The sequence below is a fragment of the Homo sapiens genome, chromosome 9 (assembly GCF_000001405.40).
Source record: "Homo sapiens chromosome 9, GRCh38.p14 Primary Assembly".
Classification (NCBI taxonomy): domain Eukaryota; kingdom Metazoa; phylum Chordata; class Mammalia; order Primates; family Hominidae; genus Homo; species Homo sapiens.
In genome coordinates this window covers 101,650,524-101,672,738 of record NC_000009.12, presented here as the reverse complement: position 1 = coordinate 101,672,738, position 22,215 = coordinate 101,650,524, and the positions used below count along the sequence as shown (strand labels likewise).

Below are 22,215 nucleotides of genomic sequence, written 5' to 3'. Positions count from 1 at the left end.
CACTGCATTGATTGATAGTAGCATCTTCAAATGTGATTTACATTTATATCTCTAATGAAAATTAGTACGTACTTCACACTTTCTGATTTTTCTATGTCCCTTCTGTGGCAACATAATGTCTTATTTCTTCTATTTGTATTTGTAAATTATAGAGTAATATTTGTGACAGGCAATGGGTGAATATGTTTTGCTAAGAGCCTACACTTACATCATCTGATTTTTCAAAATACCTACTGTGTTCCACTCTACATTTCAATTTAATTTCTTTTAATTTGAAATGTGTCTTGAGTAACTGCCATGGATTTATCATAATGCAATACTTTGTGTTTCCCACTTTTAAAATTGTATTAAAATTATTGGAAAAAGTAACCTGGAGACAGCCTTGACTGAAAAAAACTTGAATGACATTAAGTCAGAGTTACCATATCTGGAATATTTGTTCCAAGTTAGATGTAGCATGTGCTTTACATAAATTATTTCCAACTCTTGTAATGAAGGAAGTATTTTCTCTATTTTGCTGGTGACAAAACTAAAGCATAGAGTTAAGTAAATTGTTCAAGTAAATTGTTCAAGGGCCATGTTAGCAGGTGGCTAGACCAATATTCAAATGGGGGTGGATCTGATGCCAAAGCCTGGGCTTTTATTCTAACACAAGGCCACAAGCCACATTAATCTTTATTATTGCCATTAATATGCCACAAGCTTATATGTTACCTCTTACTGTCTAATCTTCCCAGACTCAAAAAAGACATAGGCTAAGACCAAGCCATATTAGTCTAGTTTTTCTGTCTAGTCCATATCAGAACATATACTGTAAGTGCCCTAGTTCACAGGGTTAGGAATCACTATATTATTTAGTTGGTAATTTTCCTTTCTGTGGCTTCTGGCATAAGCTCTCTCTAGAACCAGGGCCAATTGTTTCTCTCTAATGACTTGGAGGGAGGCTAGCCTGAGGCTATCCTTAAAAGTGCAAGTTGATTTATCATCTTTTCCTTTGTTCCATGGATGAGATCCAACATGCAGCTTCAACTAGCCTCACGGGGACAGTTATGTTAACTGATTTCATTCCACAAGAAGAAACATTGGTAACAAGATTTGGCTATTTTCTAATGTTATGAATGCAGTGTTTAAGCAATTATTAAAGTATATGCATACTTTTTAATCTCATTCCCTGTGCCAAATATCTAGATAGATCGATAGATACATAGATAAATAGAAGGTGTAGTTACAATTGAACATAGTCAACAATAGAAATAGGATATGTTAAAGATGCTGAAAACCTCCATAGCTTGAAAAGTTGTGAGAATATGCAATTAACAGTTTACAACAGAAAATGGTTAACACATCTCTTAACTAGGAATTAAAACATTTGGAGTAAGACTAAGAGTCAAGCACCTGGCTAGAATATTAGAACCTGAGAGTGAAATCTCATTTGCTTAGTGCAATAGGACTTTACTCCTATAATAGAGAATGAGTCCAGCTTATTAACATTTGAAGAAATTATAGGCACTGTCTTTTTAAATAAAAATTCGAATTTATTTTTATTAAGACAAGGAAGCAAAGCTGAACACTGCTTCCTATCTTAGGCCTCACTGCTTTTCTTACTTTTTGCCTTTGCTCCTCTTTCCCAGGTTTCTAGCCAATACCACTTTCAGAGGCCTCAGTGGTTCCATCAGAGTAAAAGGTTCCACCATCGTCAGCTCAGAAAACAACTTTTTCATCTGGAATCTTCAACATGACCCCATGGGAAAGCCAATGTGGACCCGCTTGGGCAGCTGGCAGGGGGGAAAGATTGTCATGGACTATGGAATATGGCCAGAGCAGGCCCAGAGACACAAAACCCACTTCCAACATCCAAGTAAGCTACACTTGAGAGTGGTTACCCTGATTGAGCATCCTTTTGTCTTCACAAGGGAGGTAGATGATGAAGGCTTGTGCCCTGCTGGCCAACTCTGTCTAGACCCCATGACTAATGACTCTTCCACATTGGACAGCCTTTTTAGCAGCCTCCATAGCAGTAATGATACAGTGCCCATTAAATTCAAGAAGTGCTGCTATGGATATTGCATTGATCTGCTGGAAAAGATAGCAGAAGACATGAACTTTGACTTCGACCTCTATATTGTAGGGGATGGAAAGTATGGAGCATGGAAAAATGGGCACTGGACTGGGCTAGTGGGTGATCTCCTGAGAGGGACTGCCCACATGGCAGTCACTTCCTTTAGCATCAATACTGCACGGAGCCAGGTGATAGATTTCACCAGCCCTTTCTTCTCCACCAGCTTGGGCATCTTAGTGAGGACCCGAGATACAGCAGCTCCCATTGGAGCCTTCATGTGGCCACTCCACTGGACAATGTGGCTGGGGATTTTTGTGGCTCTGCACATCACTGCCGTCTTCCTCACTCTGTATGAATGGAAGAGTCCATTTGGTTTGACTCCCAAGGGGCGAAATAGAAGTAAAGTCTTCTCCTTTTCTTCAGCCTTGAACATCTGTTATGCCCTCTTGTTTGGCAGAACAGTGGCCATCAAACCTCCAAAATGTTGGACTGGAAGGTTTCTAATGAACCTTTGGGCCATTTTCTGTATGTTTTGCCTTTCCACATACACGGCAAACTTGGCTGCTGTCATGGTAGGTGAGAAGATCTATGAAGAGCTTTCTGGAATACATGACCCCAAGGTAATACTTCATTTTACTTTAGCTTTCTTGATTGTCCATTATAATTCCGTATGTTGTATCTTCTGCTGTAGTATGCTCATGTTCTTCCATCTAACACAGGAATATTCTCTCAGCCAAGTATAGAGACTAGTCCAAAAGTCTGTTGCCTGGTTTAACTAAATATTCCATTGTTTGTTTCATAAACGAAACAAAAAGACTGAGAAGTTTTGGGGAGTGTCTTTTCTAGAGTAGGTCTTTCTGATAGAAATATCTATTAATGCATCTTTTCCTTGTATTATTTGACCATCTGATAGATAGCACACCTATCAGGGAATGGTCTTATAAGGTATTTTCACCCAAAGCACACCTTAAAAACTGATGAATTACTTATCTTGGGAATTAATAAAAATAAATTGGAAGATCCATATTTTAAATAGCAAAGAATCTTTTTCATCACTAAAAAGTGATACAATGGAAAGAATTAAATTTTATTATAAGCACCAAAGTCAACTGCTAGGGAACTCACTGAGTGTAGAACAAGGAGTATCAGACTAACTGAGATGGCAGAATTAGCTAAGGCCTATAAAGTAAGGGGAGCTGCTCAGCTGACTACCTTGCATAGAAGGGAGAGTGCCAGCAGTCCAAGGACATTCAAGAAGATTTTGTCTATCCAGGGTACCCTTGATATCCTAGACATCTGACCCTAAGGGAAGAAGGAAGAGGAAGTGTAGAGTGCAGGTAAACAGCCAAAGCAGGTAATACTTAGGTAAGGACAGCCATTCCATGTTCTCTCTGGATTGAACCAGGGCCCCTCTAAGTGAGCTGGGGTACAGAAAATTAGTCCAGCCCAATAGGACTAGAGAGAGGGGACTGTCAAGGACCAGGGCAATTAGAACAGAGCTCAGGGGAGTACTGCAGTCCTGATGGGAAACAGAGTGCAGATCTGAAGCTGCAGTGCATTCCAACATGTAGGATACATTAAGTAGAGATTGGAGAAAGGTTCAATTCAGCAGGCACACTCAGGACATACCATGTCTAAAGCAACTTAAGCTAAGCTGAGCCTTTCATATTATAAAACATTCACAGGCTTTTCCAAATGCCCCTTGTCACACCAAGTCTCAATGTATTGAACTATTTACTATAAGTTACTATTAAACATTTAAAATTAATTTCATAGACCATCAACAAGTAGGACATTTGTAGCTATCTTTACTAAATGATAGAATGCCCCAGAGGGCTGGTGGCAGCTTTAAAGATTTTTCATAGATGGTTTCAGTTGGATGTAAGTTCTGTTTTGCAACCAAAAGAATGTAAGAAATTTGACCCATATATTGCAAACCTTCTGATAAGTGACATGAACCTCATGAGAGGATTCAGCCAACAATGCCTCATTGACTAGGCAAGAAATTTTGTAACTTCTCAATGAATACTCAGGGCTTTATGTTAGGAGCTGGAATTCAGTGAACACAAATAAAATCATTAGCATAAATAAATGCATCACCCTAAAGGGAGATGTTGGTGATGCTTCTGCATTCACATTCTGCACTGGCATCAGCAGCCTTTGTTTATTCTTTGCCCCAGGAGTCCTGTAAATCTTCTGAAGGTTTTCAGCCTCACTAGAAACTTAGATTATTTGTGAGAATCTCAACAAAGTGACTCCTAAATTATTAGCTCAAAATTAAAAGTATTTAGTCTGATCTAGTAAAAAAAAAAATCTAATATATGCCTGTTGTGGAGATTTCAGGCCATTATCTTATGTAAAAAGATGAACACAATACTAACTAGAGCTTTATTTATCAGAACGAGTGATTGCCAAAATTAAGCCAGGGATGCTATGCATGAAAATCTGTAAGAGTGATTATGCTAAAGTATTAAAAATAAAATTATAAAGACAAGCTATACGCAGCAGTGAAATTATTTTTAAGCAAAAAGAAATAATCATTTCATCTCTGACTCTACCAGAATAAAGAGTGAAATTTTTTAATAAGTCTAACCCGGTCCACAACACAAAGCCAGTAGAACTGGACAAAGTCAACTTTGCATTACAACTAGTGAGTTCTTAATGAAATGGGACAAACCTAAATCTAAACTATTTTCAATTTGGGATAATAAATGAATTTCCACTAAGTTTCCTAAAAATGTGCATGTGTGTACTAGCGTTGTTTCTACGGTAAAATATCTCTTTTGTAGGTTCACTTCTTTCCATAAAAAGACACCCAGATTACTTAGCTAAGCAATGTTTGACCCCGGGATTTAGGAGGAATAATTGTTGTGATAGAATTTTTTAGTTTTCATCCAAATATGTCATATTATGTGGACTACATAATGTCCTCACTCTCAAACAGAGATACAAGATAAAAATTATTTCCACATCCCTCAGTCACTCAGAATGTACTCTTATTATACCGTAGTTACTCACATGAGTGCTTTTCTCTCCTATTAATGCTAAATTCCTTGAGGAGGGCCTATACCATTTCTTATACTAAATAAGGTAGAGCAATTCAGAGGTAAATGAGTCAAATTGTTTGACTTCAATCAATTAGGGAAGAAAAGACATAAACAAAAGGAGAAGCAACTTAGAAGGTTACAAATACGCCAAAGTTTAGCAACAGATGAAGTACTGTCCAAGTTCAAGGAAAGAATGATCACCTTCAACTCATTACAATGGAAGAAAGTTTAATTAATAAGGTAATATTTGTGCCTATTCTTAAAGAATAGTAAGAATTCAGAATGTGTGTCCAGGGAGGAGAAATGGACATCCTAAGTGAAGGAGCAGAATGAATTGCTTGGAGGTAATACTTTATATTACCTATAAAGTATACCTATTTTGTAATATAATGTATTACCTCCAAGTAATTCATTCTGCTCCTTATAATATAAAGTATATAGGTATATAGTATAAAGTATATAGGTAATACGAAGTATAAAGCACAGGCAAGATATGAGGAATCTAATTTAGCTACAGCATAGGTTACAGGAGTGGAAGGAGATAAGATCCAAGTCTGGAAAAAGTAAGCTTAATTGAGATAACAGAGGATCTTTGATGTCAGGCTAAGAAGAGTGAACTTCAATATAGATCCATGGCCATTTTTGAACAATAGAATAGCACAGTATAGTGGTATCCATTTAGGATGGCTGCTTCAGCAGCAGGCAAACAAGATTACAAGAGAAAGAAAATGAATAGAGCTGAAATTATAGCTTTGGTCACTGATATAGATTTGGTCACTGAAGAAAGGATGTGAGAAATATTGCATTCCAATCAGCAGGACTTGGCAATTAATTGGTTGGGAGAGGCAACAAAGAGTCACACCTTCAGAGCTGCAGGCCTGAGTGTCTGAGAAGATGCTGGTACATTCAAGGAAGCACAGAAACAGCAGTTCACGGGCTAGAAAATATGGTAGTCAGTTCAGTTTCATGCATGGCATATTTTAAACTTTTAATTTAAGTTTAGGGGTACATGTGCAGGTTTGTTACATAGGTAAACTTCTGTCATGGGGGTTTGTTGTATAGATTATTTCCTTGCCCAGGTATTAAGACTAGTACCCATCAGTTGTTTTTCCTGATCCTCTCCCTCCTCCCACCCTCTACCCTCCTATAGGCCCCAGTGTGTATTCCCCTCTATGTGTCCATGAGTTCTCATCACTTAGCTCCAACTTGTAAGAAAGAACATGTGGTATTTGGTTTTCCCTTCCTGTGTTAGTTTGCTAAGAGTAATGGCCTCCAGCTCTATAGCATACGTGGCATTTTTAAATCTGTTTTGAACATTTAGGTTAAATCCAACAGATATTGGAAACATGGAGCCAGAGTTCAAGAGAGAGATTGAAGCTAGTAAGAATCCTGGCAGAGGGAGGCCATACTGTTTATTAAAGCCCTAGGGGAGTATGCGATCCCCAGGGGAGAAGGTGATAGGGAGAAAAATTTCTGTTTGAAGGAATGCACCATGAATAAGGAGTCCCAGGATGTTGGTGTATAGGATTTGTGGAGAGACGAGGTGAAAGATGAAGAGGAAAGGTGACTCATAAATTCATGCAGCTCCACAAATGCCACTCTATACTTTGAATTCTAATTTTCTGAGGTGACTATGGGAATCATATGCCTACCTTCTTGTCAGTGGTTATCAGAAAAAAATAGAGGCAGATTCATGCCCAGAACAAACCATGAGAATTAGCATGCATGCATACATGCATGTGTCTTAATGTCTGATGAAACTATTAAGTTGGTGCAAAAGTAATTGCAGTTTTTGCCTTTGAAAGTAATAGGTTTATGTGATTTAATTTTTTGAGTATTTTTCAAAATTCCCTTTTCATTTTTCAAATTCACTTTGATAGCATTTTAATTTTAATCAGGGAGAATTTAGTGCCTATGGAGAAGTCATAGATCTCTGTGGTTCTTTTGGGACATTTGTTTTTCTGCCGTAAGCCGAAAATTCCCCCAATCTCAATGGGAGGTGACATTTTATATGGAGTAATGGCCACACTCTAAAGATTCTTCCACCACTGACTTACTATCTGCTTTATTTCTCTTCATATCCTTTTATCTACTGGATATTAGGATGGTTCCCCTTACACCATGTTGCCATTTTCATCCCGTTTTCACTACATAAAACTCACCTCAGTGAATTCATCTCAAGAAAGTTTTGCTGTGCTTCCCCGTTAATGCTCTTGAACACCTGCCTGCTGTGCTTCCCCATTAATGCTCTTGAACACCTGCCTCCTTTCTCCTTTAACTCTTCTTTGGTTATCTTGAGATAATCTCTCCAAGTCTTTCTGTTATAATTGTGCGCCCTAAAACTTTGAAAATAATAGAAGAATTTTACTGAGAAATGTGCTCCAAGGAATTGATGTTTTTACCTCTTAGAGGCGATCCAGACACCCCAAATCTAAAAATGAAACTCCCCAAAGTTCTATCTACTATTTTCTTAAAACTACATTTCTGTTGCATGTAATATTTTAAATTATAATAACAGTGTTTTCTTACTTGTGTGTAAATAGTTTATATTTCTAGCTCAAAATTTAAGCTGTTTTTTTTTGGTATTAGTCTTGGAATCTAAACACCACTTATAAAATATTTATATGGGAAAATATGTTCGGATGAAAAAGCTATTGACTTACAAGGTAAGATTTGTGATCCTCTGTATTTATACACCGTCTGTCTGCAAGTTGAGCCCTGGCTACGTATCTGTAACCCTGATAGCAGATAACTTACAATGAATGTAATAGCTCCATTTTTCTTCTTGATCCTAATTGTTTAGAATGCTGGCTATATATTTAACACAATTAATAAAACTGTTAAGAATTAAGAGGGTGAATATTTTATCACCATTTTAGGGCGGAAATTCATTGGCTTTAACCAACTACTTTGAATCAGAAATAAAATTAAAAGCAAGAGCCTGCGCAAGAAAGATAAACTTATGATTCACTGCATGTTGCAGCAGCCACAGGAGGTTGAAATTTTTTTTCCTGATAGGGGGTCAGAAGAAAAAAATAATCTTGTACCTGGCTGCTCTTGCAGATAACCCCAAGAGAGAGGAACTGGCCTGCTGTGCAAATGAGGTTCAAGAGGATGATTCTATCCTCACTTAACTCTTTTTGCTAGAATAATTTATTTTACAATAAAAGTAATATATGTTGCTTCTCACGGCCTCCTACCAACTCATCTGGGAAGCAAGCTCCACGCTTCAGAGTGGGTGGGCTCTTGAAGCATGAGACCATGAAAGCAGGAATTTGTGAGTGATATATTTAATAGAACTTATTTGGATATTTCCTCAATGTAAAATAGCACTATTCATTATAGGCAATGCAGAAAATAAAGTAGAGAGATGGAAGCAAGCATCTACTACCTCATCATCCAAATCATGTTATTTTAGCATTTGGGGATGATTGACAAGTGGATAGAAACTGCAGCCGTGTTTTTATCCAGTGAGGTTTCTCTTTGGGTCTGCAGTCTAAGGAGTGGATCTGGGCACTCACAGGACATTTCAGCCATTGGCATATGTTCTGCTGGTATCTAAGATGGGATGAGAAAATAACTTCACAGAACATAAAGTTCACTGGAAAATAAAGCTCCACTTCCCCTTATGGAGTTGAACTGGCTCAGCTGAAAGGATACATGAACACTCAAAATTAGCTATTTGCTGATTTTAGTGGACTTTCTAGTACTTCTTTTCCAGCTTCTCCCCTTTTAGCCCTGAGAAGTATCTAATAAAAAAAAAAAAAGAAAAAGAAAAATTCAGCTCTGTAGAGGGAATAGGAAGCTAGTATCATTGTTGTACAGGCAAATGACAGTACTGTTTTAGAAACACAGTCCTGGCGAACATTCAAGTAAATATTAAAAATTAAATAGACATGCTGTGAGGGCAAGGGCAAACTTTAACCAAAAATATTTAAAAAAAAGGACATTGGCAGAGCCTTAGTAGGAAATGAGAAGCATTTCCCAAAATAAGAAAAAACGCCTTTATTGATTGTCATATAACAGCTTGTGGCTGCCCAATAAAACATATGAATTCATATAATGAAAGCTGCCACAAAGAAGGGAAGGATGCCATAACTCTAAGGCAAACAAGACACTGAAATGGAATTTGAGGTGAGGGGAAAGAAACTGAGTTACACCAATCCACTCATTCATTCTTTCTTAATTCATTCAATAACAGCAACTTCTAGCCCAAGCACCATGCGAGGTGCCTGGGAATTTAAGAGTAAGCAAAATAGACACTGTCCTTGCAACATGGAATTTAGTAGGAAAGAGAAACATTAATCAAAGGAGCACATAAATTAGTCAATGATTGATTTAAGCCATGCTAAATTACTGAGAAGTAAAATATAGCATAATCTAGGAGCCTGGCAGGAGACCTGATCTGAATGGGGAAAGAAGGTCTGTCTAAGATCTGAATGAGATAAATGAGTTAAAGGGAAGTTGATGAGGATGTTAGAGAAGAGCATTTTAGGGGGATGGGGCTGCAGGTGCAGAATCCCCGAGGCTAGACAGAGGGGAGTGCAACTGTCTCATCAACTATGACATTGGAAAGCCAGGAAAATGGGAATGAGAGTCAGACAAGTAACAAGATAGAGGGTTTTGATCACTAGACATTCTAGATAAACCATTTCTCAGAAGAAGAAAAATCCAAAGAATGTCATACTGTAGGGAGAGCTGTACTTCCTACAGGCTCCATGTACTTCCAAATAGAAAACATAATAGGAGAAATATCCTATTCAGTGTAGCAACAAAAGTTCATGATAGATCATGGAAATGTCCTCTATAAAAATTGGGTTAAAAGAAAAAATTTGTTAATGTACCACCACATAAAAGATAGTTGGGATAAAATAACTACCATATTACCAAGTTGGGAGACTGAATACTTAAAGATGTCAAAATTCCTTGATTAGTTTATAGGTTTGAGGCAACTTCAATCAAAATCCCAAAGGACTTTTTTGTTTCTTTGATTAATATTTTAAAAACATATATTAGTATATTTACATATAATATATTAATGTTAATCTTTTCAAAAAGGCTCAAGGTATTTACTTTTCTAGATATTGAAATGCTTAATATTGGTAATAATAAAAGAAAAGCTAATATTCATTGACCATTTCCCACATGCCGAGCACTATTTTAAATGAAGTTAAATAGCACTCCCACCTCCATTAACTAGTTACAGAGATTACATTAAATAATTCAAGTAAAGCACCTTGCATAGTGTCTGACACCTAAGGGGCACAAAATAATAGTAACAATAGTTAAAATCTCTTCATATTTTAATACCAATAATTATATTTATCTTGAACAATCATTCCCCCCACCCATTGTCAAGGTGAACACGGTGACAAGATTCCCTTACTGAGCTAACTTATAGAGAGGAGTTTGGAGACAAATTTCTTGCCTACTAAAAACAGATTAATTGTCATTGTGGTATGCATTTTAAGCATCATTCCTGACTTTGTATTTTCTTTCTTAGTTCACTCTGTTTTAATTTTTGCTACCTTGTATGTTATGCGACCTTTAAGCTGCCTTAAATCTTTTCGGGAAGATAGCAAGGTATATATAAGTAACCTTAAAATCAAATAAATAAAGAATAGTAACAGTAATTCAGGAAATAAATAAATGCGACAATTAATAAAGAAATTTAAATCATACCTGTAATTAAAGAAATGCTAAATTAAAACAGAAATGAGACATTTTTGCCCATCACATTAGATTTATTTTAGTGATATTTCTCAACCTTAGTGGAAGCACATTAAGATGAGCACCAGCAAACACTATTACTGGGAAGCTGGGTTTATGCAATGCTCATAAATCATTTTGGCCATTTGGATCAAGAGCCTTAACAGAGTTTATGCCCTTTCGCCCTTGACTTTCACTTCTAGGAATCTGTCCACATAATATAGTATGTGGACAACAACTTATTGCAAAGAGTCACTGCAGCCTTACTTAAAATAGCAAAAACTTGGAAACCATGTAAGTGTCCAATATGTAGCACAATTACTAACTTATAATATTCCATATGCTATAAAATGCAGCCTGAAGAAATGATATTGAAGAGCCTTTTAAGGTGTCAAAAAATCAAAATATAATGTTAAGTGAAAAGTCAGGATACAAAACCACATACTACATTTTCAATTTTGTAATATGCATATGTACATGCTATAAAGGGACATGACTGGAAGGAAATATCACGCAATGCATATAATGCAACGTATATAAAATATCACAGCACTGTTACCTGGGCAGTATAATTAAGGAAATATTTATTGTATTATTTCTACCTCATATTTTTTACAACATTCATGTATTATTTATGTAATGGGAAAATACTTAATAACCCAAGTAAGAATGAGAATATTTCAGACATGAGACAATAGTGGTGACAATATCACAATAGCAATATTTGCTCCACATGTGCTGCTGCTGTCTGCGGCCTCAAGTGAGATGAGTACCTCAATGAGTACCACTCCCACACAAAAATTTTTACATTTTAAAGACACTTATACTGTCCACAGAGGCTTTCAGGAGCAAATTTTCATTTCCACCCAGTTTATTCCCCTCCTAGGACTTAACACAATCTGTAATTGTCATGCAATCTGTTTGTTAACTGTCCCACTTTATCTTGCTTAACACTGTATCCTCAGAACCTAGCAGAGTGCTGGGTGAACAGTAAATATTCAGTAAATGTTGTTCGACTAATGAATGAAAAATGGCAGCATCATTGGAATAAGAGTATAGTGCTCTGACGTGATTAGTTTGAAATCAACGTTTTTGATATGACCTTTCAAAATCATTCTTATACTAGATGCTGTGGAACAAATAGGAGAAAAACCCCTGTTGGGGGCAATGTGGTATGCTATAAAGGACAATCTGGCATTGGACAGCTCTGTTTGGTGTCTGATTCCATTACATATTAGTTTTGTGAAGCTCTGCAAGTTACTTAGCCTCTCATGGCTTCTGTCTTCTCATGTGAGAAGATTAAAGAGGATAATGGATGTGAAATATCCAGCTGAAGTTCTTATTCTATCTACCACTGGACTATAAACTCCATGAGAGTACAGACTAAATCTTTCTTATGCACCCTGTTCCTAGGGCCTAAGCAAATGGCAACTCCCCATTTGGATAATTATTGAGTAAGTAAATGGACTTGATTATGACATCTATTGAAGCAGAGGTGGCCAACATGAGACCAGTAGGATTGAGGTAGAGGGTGGGAGCACCTCTCATTTGCAGTTGAAATTATGTCCAAAGGTGACCCAGAGTGTTTGAGCCAGGACATTGTATATAATTATTGTATGTATTTTGCATAGATCATTGTATATAATTTGCTTTCATTAAAGCAAATAACACCTAAGACCATGATGCCCATAGTGGAACCGAGTCTCAGAGATGTAGGATCCTTGAGTAGGAAGACACTGTGAGGGAATACGAGACAGATGATGCTGCCCCAGCCTAGGTGGTTTTGGATCCCTGGTGGTATATTATGGAGTTGGATTAGAATCATTCAGTGGGTCTTATATGGATCAGACACACAGTACACGACAATTAGTGGAAATTGGCAGGGTGGGGGGAATGGTATATTCTTTCCCTTCCTGAATGTTCTCCAATTCAAGAAACCATAGGAAAATCATCAAGGCTTTGCTAGTTCAGATTGATAAGTCAAAAACTGAACAAATATACATGTAACTTATTTATTTATTTTCTCACCTACTTCTAAAATAATTTTGAGGTGGCATCTTTACAGAACTTTTAAAATAACTGCAGTTGTATTACTTTCAAATAGATACAGTAATTCATATTAAATACAGCAAAGTGTTTTCAATTAGATACCGTGCTGAGTTTGCCTTAATGAAAGTCTAAGATCATTTCCTTTATTTTAATACAAACAGAGAATATGTCAAATTTTTGCCAACCTTTCTCTTAAATTAAGGGAAAATTGGCTTATACCTTTGTTTACGTTATTAACCTTCTTAGCAAGTATTAAGATATTTGCTATCCCAATACATAGATACTTTCTATGTATAAATAAATACATAGATACTTTCTATGTATAAATAAATACATAGATACTTTCTATGTATAAATAAATACATAGATACTTTCTATGTATAAATAAATACATAGATACTTTCTATGTATAAATAAATACATAGATACTTTCTATGTATAAATAAATACATAGATACTTTCTATGTATAAATAAATACATAGATACTTTCTATGTATAAATAAATACATAGATACATACTTTCTATGTCAATAAATGTGTCATAAGATATCTATAAATATTTATGTGTGTATTTATATACATATATATCTTGGGTAATTATAAACAATTATCAGCATACATGTCTATTAACTCTGTGTTCACATAGACACATTAATATTATTTTAAAAGTTCATGTAGGTTAAATGGACTCACATTTGGAATACAGAGAACTAAGTTAATGATGGTTTGCTCTGTGAAGAATCTTATTTTCATGCTCAATAAATATTTATCTGTGTATGAAGTTGCAGGTAGTCCCCCAAGAGGGCTCCTTTTGTGTCTAAAATATACGTATTTTAGCTCCACAGGCACAGTGTAAATAAATTAAGTTGAAAGTTGGATTTTTATGATTTAGCCTCAACTTGATATTTTGATCCCTAATCAGATCAGAAGCTAGTGTGATTCAACCACTGGTGTATCCAGTGGCAAGCCAAGAATCTTAACAGAGTTCAGGTCTGTTGTGAACTCAGTATGGGAAATTTGGCCAGCTAGGACTCAATTTTCTCAATCACAACTGAATACAAGCCTACTCCAGCCAATTGCATGGATAGATACATAGATAGATAGATAGATAGACAGATAGACAGATAGATAGACAAATAACATGTATATAAAATATATGATGTTATTCATAGCTTACTTTCAGAATATTTTGTCAGAATCTATTAATATTTTTCAAACTCAAGAAGTGAGTTTACCATGATATTCTATCAAAAAACTGCTGCCTAAAAAATGCCAAAAAACAGAAAATTTTAACAATGCCAACCAAATAAAACCTATCAATGTTTCCTTAAATTATATTTCAACTAGGTTTTTTTCTGTGCATGACCTGAAGGCATATAATTAATGGAGGTAAATCAATTGGCAAATAAGAATGTAAATGAATATGGGTATATATTTATCTCCTATGGTTTGTGTTTTAAATGATGATTAACCATCAGCCTAAAGGTGATAAAAGACTTATTTCACTTCATGGTAAGACCATAGATATAATTTCAGGAACAGAAAATAAAAATGTCAATGTCAACAAATAATAATATTAACATGTATTACATACCTGCTATAGTCTAGGGACTATGCTATCTGCTTTAAATTGAATTTTCCTCACTTAAACTTTACTGCATCCATACAGATGAGGAAATTGGGCTAAAAGAAGGTAGATGACTTGTCCAAAGCCATATAGCTAATAAAAGGTAAAGGCAGGATTCATACCCAACAATATCTGATGATAAATTATTCCTACTCACTATTTCATTAACACATGCAGTAAAAATGTTCTCCCCTACCTGATTTATTCCAACAAGTCCTTTCCTCACCTCTGGACTTAGGCTGCAAAAGCTGCTCATACCACAAACATGACTGAAGAGCAGAGACTGCTGCTAAGGCTGTGATATTTGAATCTTTGCACAAATGGTACAGGATTCAGTCTGGGATGAAGAAGCGAAAGAGACACAGATGCAGGCAGGAATAACTCCCACACCTCCACCACCATTACCATCACTACTCCCTTTCCCAAGGAAGTACTGTGGCAAGAATATATCCTCTGGATACTTAATAAACTAAAAAGAAGAAGTTGCTTATCTGCATAGTGTCTTCCATCCACCACCTCTGTGGCATGCTGTCAGTCTCAGATGCTGCCCCACTCTCCTGCCACCACCCCCTGTGAAATGGCAGCTTCCCTTCCTTCTCTTTCTCCCCTGCAGTTAGACATCTCCAAATGAAGCTGTAGTGTCTCAGTATGAACTATGGTGACAATTAATATTCCCACTGTTAAATCTCTTCATCGTTACTCCACTCTACCTTCAGCACTGCTAATGCTTAACTCACATAAATTTTGCTCAAAGCATTAAGTCCTTCCCTGTTCATTGAAATACTGTTTACATTATTGAAAGGCTAGAAATAATCCATAGTCACCAAGAGTAGCTGGGTTAAATAAAGCAAAGTACATTTCTTCATCGGAATATGGTATTAGTGTTAAGGAAAGAAATTGAGCAGGTTGTGAATTATCAAATTAAAAAGTAGTTTGTACAAAATATGAATCTATAATAAAATTCCACATAAAACCATTGTACTAACATTTTTTGTTTTACTGAATTGGCACTCATGAAACAGGGTTGCTCACCACTAGAATATAAAGATATCAGAGGCACCTCAAATCTTCTTCCTGCCACATATTCTGGAAGTACCCCCAACAGTCATTTCTTGGAATTAAGAAATTTTTTCTCCAGAAGGCCCCTACATATACTGCTTACATTTCAACGTAAGACAAACGTTATCTGAAAGAGATGATACTCCTGTTTTCTATATGGGTTACTAATTTAGACGAGATGATTTTGCTTACATAGAGAACAAGGGGAATATATATCACTGGGCGGTTTGATGAATTTCAGGGAGAAGACACAAATTATCAGATCTATAGAAGAAGAAACCAGAAAAAAAGGCAACTGGCACAGCTTCCTGCCAAGATTCAAATCCCTGTCGCTCTCTACTCCTCATAGGTGAAGCTGCTTCTCCCTCATTTTCAAGCACTGACTTTTTCCTTGTCTTTCCCCAACAAGGCTCAGGAACCAATCCTGTTCTATCTTAGGGAGAATTTAAGATGCTATATCTGGATCCTTTCTCTTCAGAAGTTTGGTTCAAGGACAAGCAGTTCTGGCAACTCCAGGAGCTTGTCAGAAATGTAGAATCTCAGACCCAATCTCAGGCTCTGCCCTAGACCTACTAAACCAGAATCTGCATTTTAACAAGATCCCTAGGTGTATTCTGCACAATACAATCAGAGAAGCAAAGCTATAGGTCAGTTTCCATATGATCCAACATCAGATCACTACTGCTGCTGGCCCCACTCTTATCTTTCACTCTTGAATCTGTGACATTCTAGGACTACGTCTAATAATTGGTTCTATTCCCTCTTAACAAGCTTAATGTTCCATTGACTTCCATACTGTCATCCTGCTTAGCTCTGGCCTTCTCCCAGCATCTGGGAGATGCTTTGACTCAGAGTCCTAGCTTGCCAGCTACAATTTTAGCCCAGCTGGTTGACATCTTGGATAATGGACCTACACAATTATCTTTTTCATTGTTCACCCAGAATTCTCCCACCCCCTGCTAAACTGATCTATGCTACCTTTGTGCAAAACCAGCACAAATCAGTCTATCCTCTAAAGAATTTCAGAAAAAATTCCTTTTGCAAGCCTTTTACCCTTGTTCTTTCCCCTGTGGAGATAGTAAGCAGCTTTATCAGCTTCTTTGTTGAACCATTATTAACCCATTTCTCACTCTGTTCTTCACATTTTGTAAATCAGTTCACAAATCACTCTTCCCAGCTTCTCTGAAGAAATGAAAGGTGCTGCCCCTGTATTCACATAATTTTATCATCTGCACACTTTTACACAGGCCTCTCATCTGCAATTGAATGCTGTTAAGTGGAAAAAGTATTACATACTGAAAATACAAGTCTTTTATCCTAATCCCATTATTTTCTTTTCATTTTTACAACCTTTTAGAAAATGACTATTTTGCTTCACTAATATGACAAATAATTATGACACACATCATTTGTAAAGTCCTTCATTGCCTCCCAAACACTTTCACTTCATCACCTCAATTGATTCCCTACATCTTTGTGAAGCAGAAAATGCATCTGCTGTTGGAGGAGACTGAGGCTCAGAGGAGTTAAGTGATTTTTCCAAGGATCAAGCTGCTACTTAAACCCAAGTTTTAATTTCAGATCCATCATAATTTTTGGGACAATGTGCTGCCTCATATTAAACTATATTCAAAAACATATTAAGCATACAATGATAAGAATGCTTACAGCTCTCAAAGCTTTGCTCAGCATTTTGAGAGTGTAGTTTGAGAAGAACAATTATCAGAAAAAGAAATTCATAATATGCTCACTTAATTACTGTTCAATGCACATCTAGTACTTGTGAATTACCATAAGTTTTTAGATGGTTTAACTTTCAAGGAGCTGAATATCTTGCAGGTCAAATATGAAATCAAGTAGTCAGTCTACTGAGAGCCAAACTGAAGTCCAAAATTGCAGAATATATTTTGCTTTAGGTCATGTACCAAATGACTAATAGGCAGCGAAGGTTTTCAGGATTATAATTTTAGCCCAAGGCTCTGGTAACTACATGAAATCTTTGAGTGGTTTATGATATCTTAAGCTGAAATTATAGCTCCCCATGGGCAAAAGTTGTTGAAATGCTTTCAGCCATTGAGTACTGTAATTAACCTGTCCTCTATAGCAATTATAGGAAAAACTATATTGAATGCCTAGTCATATTGACTAATGACTTTAAGTATACAAATTACTTTTTAAATGAGAATGGCAGGAAGGAAATTCATTCACCCATCAATTCCATAAATATATATGTCACCATATGTATTTTGTCTGTTTGCCATTAAGATAAAGGCTAGGAATACAATAGCAGACAAGTCAGATCCCTACCCGCCATTTCCAAAATCTTACACTTTAGCAAGATAATTAGACCTTAAATGACCATACCCATGAGATGAGTGTTACGATGAAGAATGGAATATTATCCCAAATATATTAACAGAAACCTGGCAAACTGGGCTTGATGTGAGGAACACAGTCAGAGAAAGCCTCCTTGAGGAAGAAAACATGAATTCTGAATGATGAATTAAAATTATGGAGGAAAAGAGGAGAGGAAACCTCTCTTAATAGGCAGATAAAGTAAATGAGGAAAAAAAAAGAGACCTTGAAGGGAGTACACAGGGAATCAGTCTCCCTCTGAATGATAGGAAGAGCTGTGTGGATATATGAGAGGAAAAAGTGGGAAACGATCAGAAAATAATTTGTATAAAATAACATAGACTAGACATCAACAAGAAATATGTATGTAAATTTCACATTATGTTACACATATATATGATATGCATATGTTATATACGGTATATAACATAGAGTATTTGTATATCATACATGTATATATTATGTATAATATATAATGGAAAATATAAAGCATGTATAATATAGTACTTATGTATATTTGATATGTGTGTGCATAGGTATATATATATGTGCATGTGTATGTACCAGAGCAGAATTTGTAATGATAAAACATAAAGCCATTTTCTATAAAATGCCTCCTCTTCAGTCACAAGAAAAAAAAACTTAAGATTCAAAGACTGTAAGATAATATTCAAAAGGTAACTAATTAAGATGACAAAATCAGATAAGATAATAAAACACTGTATTGAATGAAAAAATAGGTACGCAATTTTAAAAGAGACCAAGAGGATTCAATGTGAAATATTTACCTGCTAAAGATGTAATTCATTTTGGAGAATACAAAGATTGCCACCAAATGGAAAAGCCCAGAAAGAGCTCCTAACCACACAAGTCAGCTCTAAATATTTCAATATTACTTCAAACAATTAAATTATATTATTATTTTCAGCGATAATACAATTTTCATTTGTATTACACTTGACAATATTTTTTCAGCTTAGTGATGAGGTACACATACAATAGAGTTTTAGCATAGTTAAATATAAATTATCAATCATACATATAAAATGGAAAATAGATACAAGAAAGATTATGTTTCAGAATATCAAATTGTATCAATAATAAGTGGAAGGTGAAAACAAAGTAGAGACACAAACCAAGAGAACAAAATACTTAAATATGTGCCTAAAGTTCTAAATAGCAGTTCTCAGATACAGGAAAAAATGGTTTTTGGTTTTAGGGTGAGTATTAATCATTCCACTCCCTAAAAGTTGGTTTTACTAGGAAAGCAACATTATTTTAAAAAGTATTTTATCTGTCACAGGACAGAGAAAATAAAAAATGATAGGATTTTTGAAGTTTCATCAATGTGCAATTTACAATGGACACACTTAAAACAGACGTAAGCTAAAAAATTAAAAGCTTAATTAACATAGTTCAATAAGTATAGAAATTATTTTGAAATGTATTTTGTCACTTTAGAGTTCATCATAAATTCAAAAATAGTAAAAGTAATCTATTTTCTCTGAAAAGCTCTGTGCTAAGTAAGCATTACAATGATATTATGAAAATAATGAAAAATTCTAGGCATTTTTGCACTAAATGCTTCAATATAGTTATAAAAAGAAGGAAGCTAGTCCTTGGCAATTATAATTCTTTTAAATCTTGCTCAGATGAAATTCCTGACACAAGTGGCATGTGATGACTGAAGTTTTAATAACCATTCATACTTGGAACATTTTATGCATTAATAATACTTGGAGTAAAAATGAACAGCATTTTCCAAATACAATAACTCAAAAATAAATGGAAACATTTGTGAAAATGTTTCATTTTTGAAAATCTCCTTGGGCTGAGTCAAACCATGGAAAATTTTAGCTCAAACGAAAATTCTTCCTCTTTCCCAGCCCCCCTAAAAAAAATCACAAGGATGTGAAAACAGGATTATAATGGAAGCTGTCTTGCAACATTAACTGCAATGTTCATTCTCATAAAAGCCATAATTCATGGCTGCTCCACAGCCCTTTTCTTTCAGCAATTATGCATATTAGAGGAAAGTTTGAATACATAAAACCCAAATGCTGATAGAAAAGCAAGCCTCATAAAAGACGCATTTACTCAACTAGTTTTCCTCAAAGGAAAATGTGAAAGCTAACTAGGCTGCACCAGTCCAAGGTGTCCCTAGTTCAAGGGAGTTGGAGAAAGCATGAAAACTACAGCTGCAGGGCATTATACAGGGCTTACTGCCTGGGATTTTTTGTCAACCCATTGGCAGTCAACTCCATCACCAGAGGACAGCACCTTTGGTGGAGGGAGGATGTTGGGACCTACTACTGGCTCTCCTGGGAATTTAATGCAAAGTTGCTCTTTTGAAAGGAGAGTGCCAGGAGAGTACCTCAAACACACTCTTTTTTCTTCATTCCTTTTTTTCTTAATCCCTGTTTCTTCTAACTTTCATAGGGTGTCATGGAAACCACCACATGAGAACTGCCCATGCCACTTTGATGACCTTCCTATTTCCAGAATCTAGTACAGAGACTGGCACTTGATAAACATTTGCTGGAAAAAAAGAATCAAAGATTTCTAAATCCTGTTTCAAGTCAGAAATCTTGGTTTTGAATTTTGTCTCTGTTCCATAACTGGGTTTTGTGACCCTGGGAAAGTTACTTATACTCTGAACCTCAGTCTCCTCACCTAAAAATAGAAATGAAAATTATGACTCCTCATGGCACCGTCCCCAGACAATTATGAAATAATGTATGTAAAACCTTTTAGCACAGTAGCTGACCTGTTTAAATGTTCTGTAGTTATCTGTTAAATCCAAATTCTTCATTTTGCCTATAATTCCAGAGTTGTAGGAGACTAAATGAATGAAAAAGACAGATCTTATCAAATTTAAGGGATCAGAATCCACTCTAGTGATTTTTTCTGATACTTCTTATAATAGGCCAAAACTAAATGCATCCTTGACTTCTCTAGGAAGAATTACAGCCAACATTTATAGCATTCAGGATTTATGCTTTGATATATATCTTTAAAATAAAGCCTATTGCCATTTTTAAATGGGAAATCTCAGAAGCAGCTCAGAAATATTAGCAAGAATTACAAAATTTATTTATAAAATTTACAGACTTATAATAACCCTCCAAGCAAGTAGCAAAAATTTTAAAATCTGAAAGAATGACCACACACACACACACACACACACACACACACAATGGATTTATTGCATACATCTTCAGATTAACAAATCAACCAGCAAGCTACTCTTTGTGCATAGGGTCTGTGGAGGATACAAAGAATAATGCACACAATCCTCATCCTCAGAAAATATGTAATCAAATTAACATTAAAATGCTGCAATAAAATTAGGAAAAGCAATGTGTTCACCAGAGTATCAAAAAGGTATGTTAGTATCTCTGACGACTCTTTAACAAAAGTAGCCTTCCCACCTGACTTTCTATCACATCATATCATTTTTCCGTTCCTTCCTTTAATTTTGTATTATCTGTAATTATCTGGTTTGCTTGGTGTTGTTTTTCTCCACAGGAGTAGAGACATTTTCTGTATTATTCATAGGGATTATCAACTGATACAGATTATATATTAATGGGGTCTTTGTTCTTGAAACTATCACTGACCCAAGGACCCTAACTAAGGTGGCAGTTAAGACCAAATCAGAAATATGCCTGAAACATTTCATTAAAAAATCATTCATTTATTCTTCCATGTTATTTTTATATCAATTAATATAATTCCAAATATATTAATAAGGCACTATGACAGATTCTAAAAGACTTAAAAGAAACATATTTCCTTGAGAAATACACACAAATAAACAAATATTTATACTACATCCTGACTCACGAAATAAAAAATAGATAAAAGGGAAACATAGTACCCACAAGGATGGCTAACTCTTTCTTGGGAAGATCAGAGAAGGTTTGAGAAAAAAGGTGATACTTACTGAGTTTTAAAGAAATAATAGCAGTTTACCCAGGAACCAACCTTTGAGAAAACAAAATGTGTGTGGGGGGGTGGAATTCCAGGCAGAGGTAACAGCATGTGCAAATGCCAAAAGGTAAGACTGGACCAAATGACATGAGTGCTGAGATTAGTGACAGAAGATCTTGGTTTAGTTTCTGGATCCTCACGTATAGTTGTTACCACTGTATCAGTCACCTATTTCTATGATAATATTGCAAAACAAACAACCATAAAATATCGGCATACAACAAAAAGCATATAAATAGCTCACAAGTTTTGCCAGGTTTGGTTGACCTGGTCCAAACTTACTTACCTATTTTGGGATCAGCTGGCTGTTGGATGA

General features: G+C 35.7%; 1 protein-coding gene across 2 annotated transcripts in view; it reads left to right on the top strand.

The window, feature by feature from the left end:
• The window catches only part of GRIN3A (glutamate ionotropic receptor NMDA type subunit 3A), a 169,296-nt gene that overhangs the window by 65,909 nt on the left and 81,172 nt on the right, over positions 1-22,215 (top strand). For both annotated transcript variants that reach the window (NM_133445.3, XM_011518211.3), the window contains exon 3: positions 1,632-2,679. In NM_133445.3, the coding sequence (NP_597702.2) occupies positions 1,632-2,679 (1,048 nt within the window). The remainder of the gene's footprint in view (positions 1-1,631; positions 2,680-22,215) is intronic.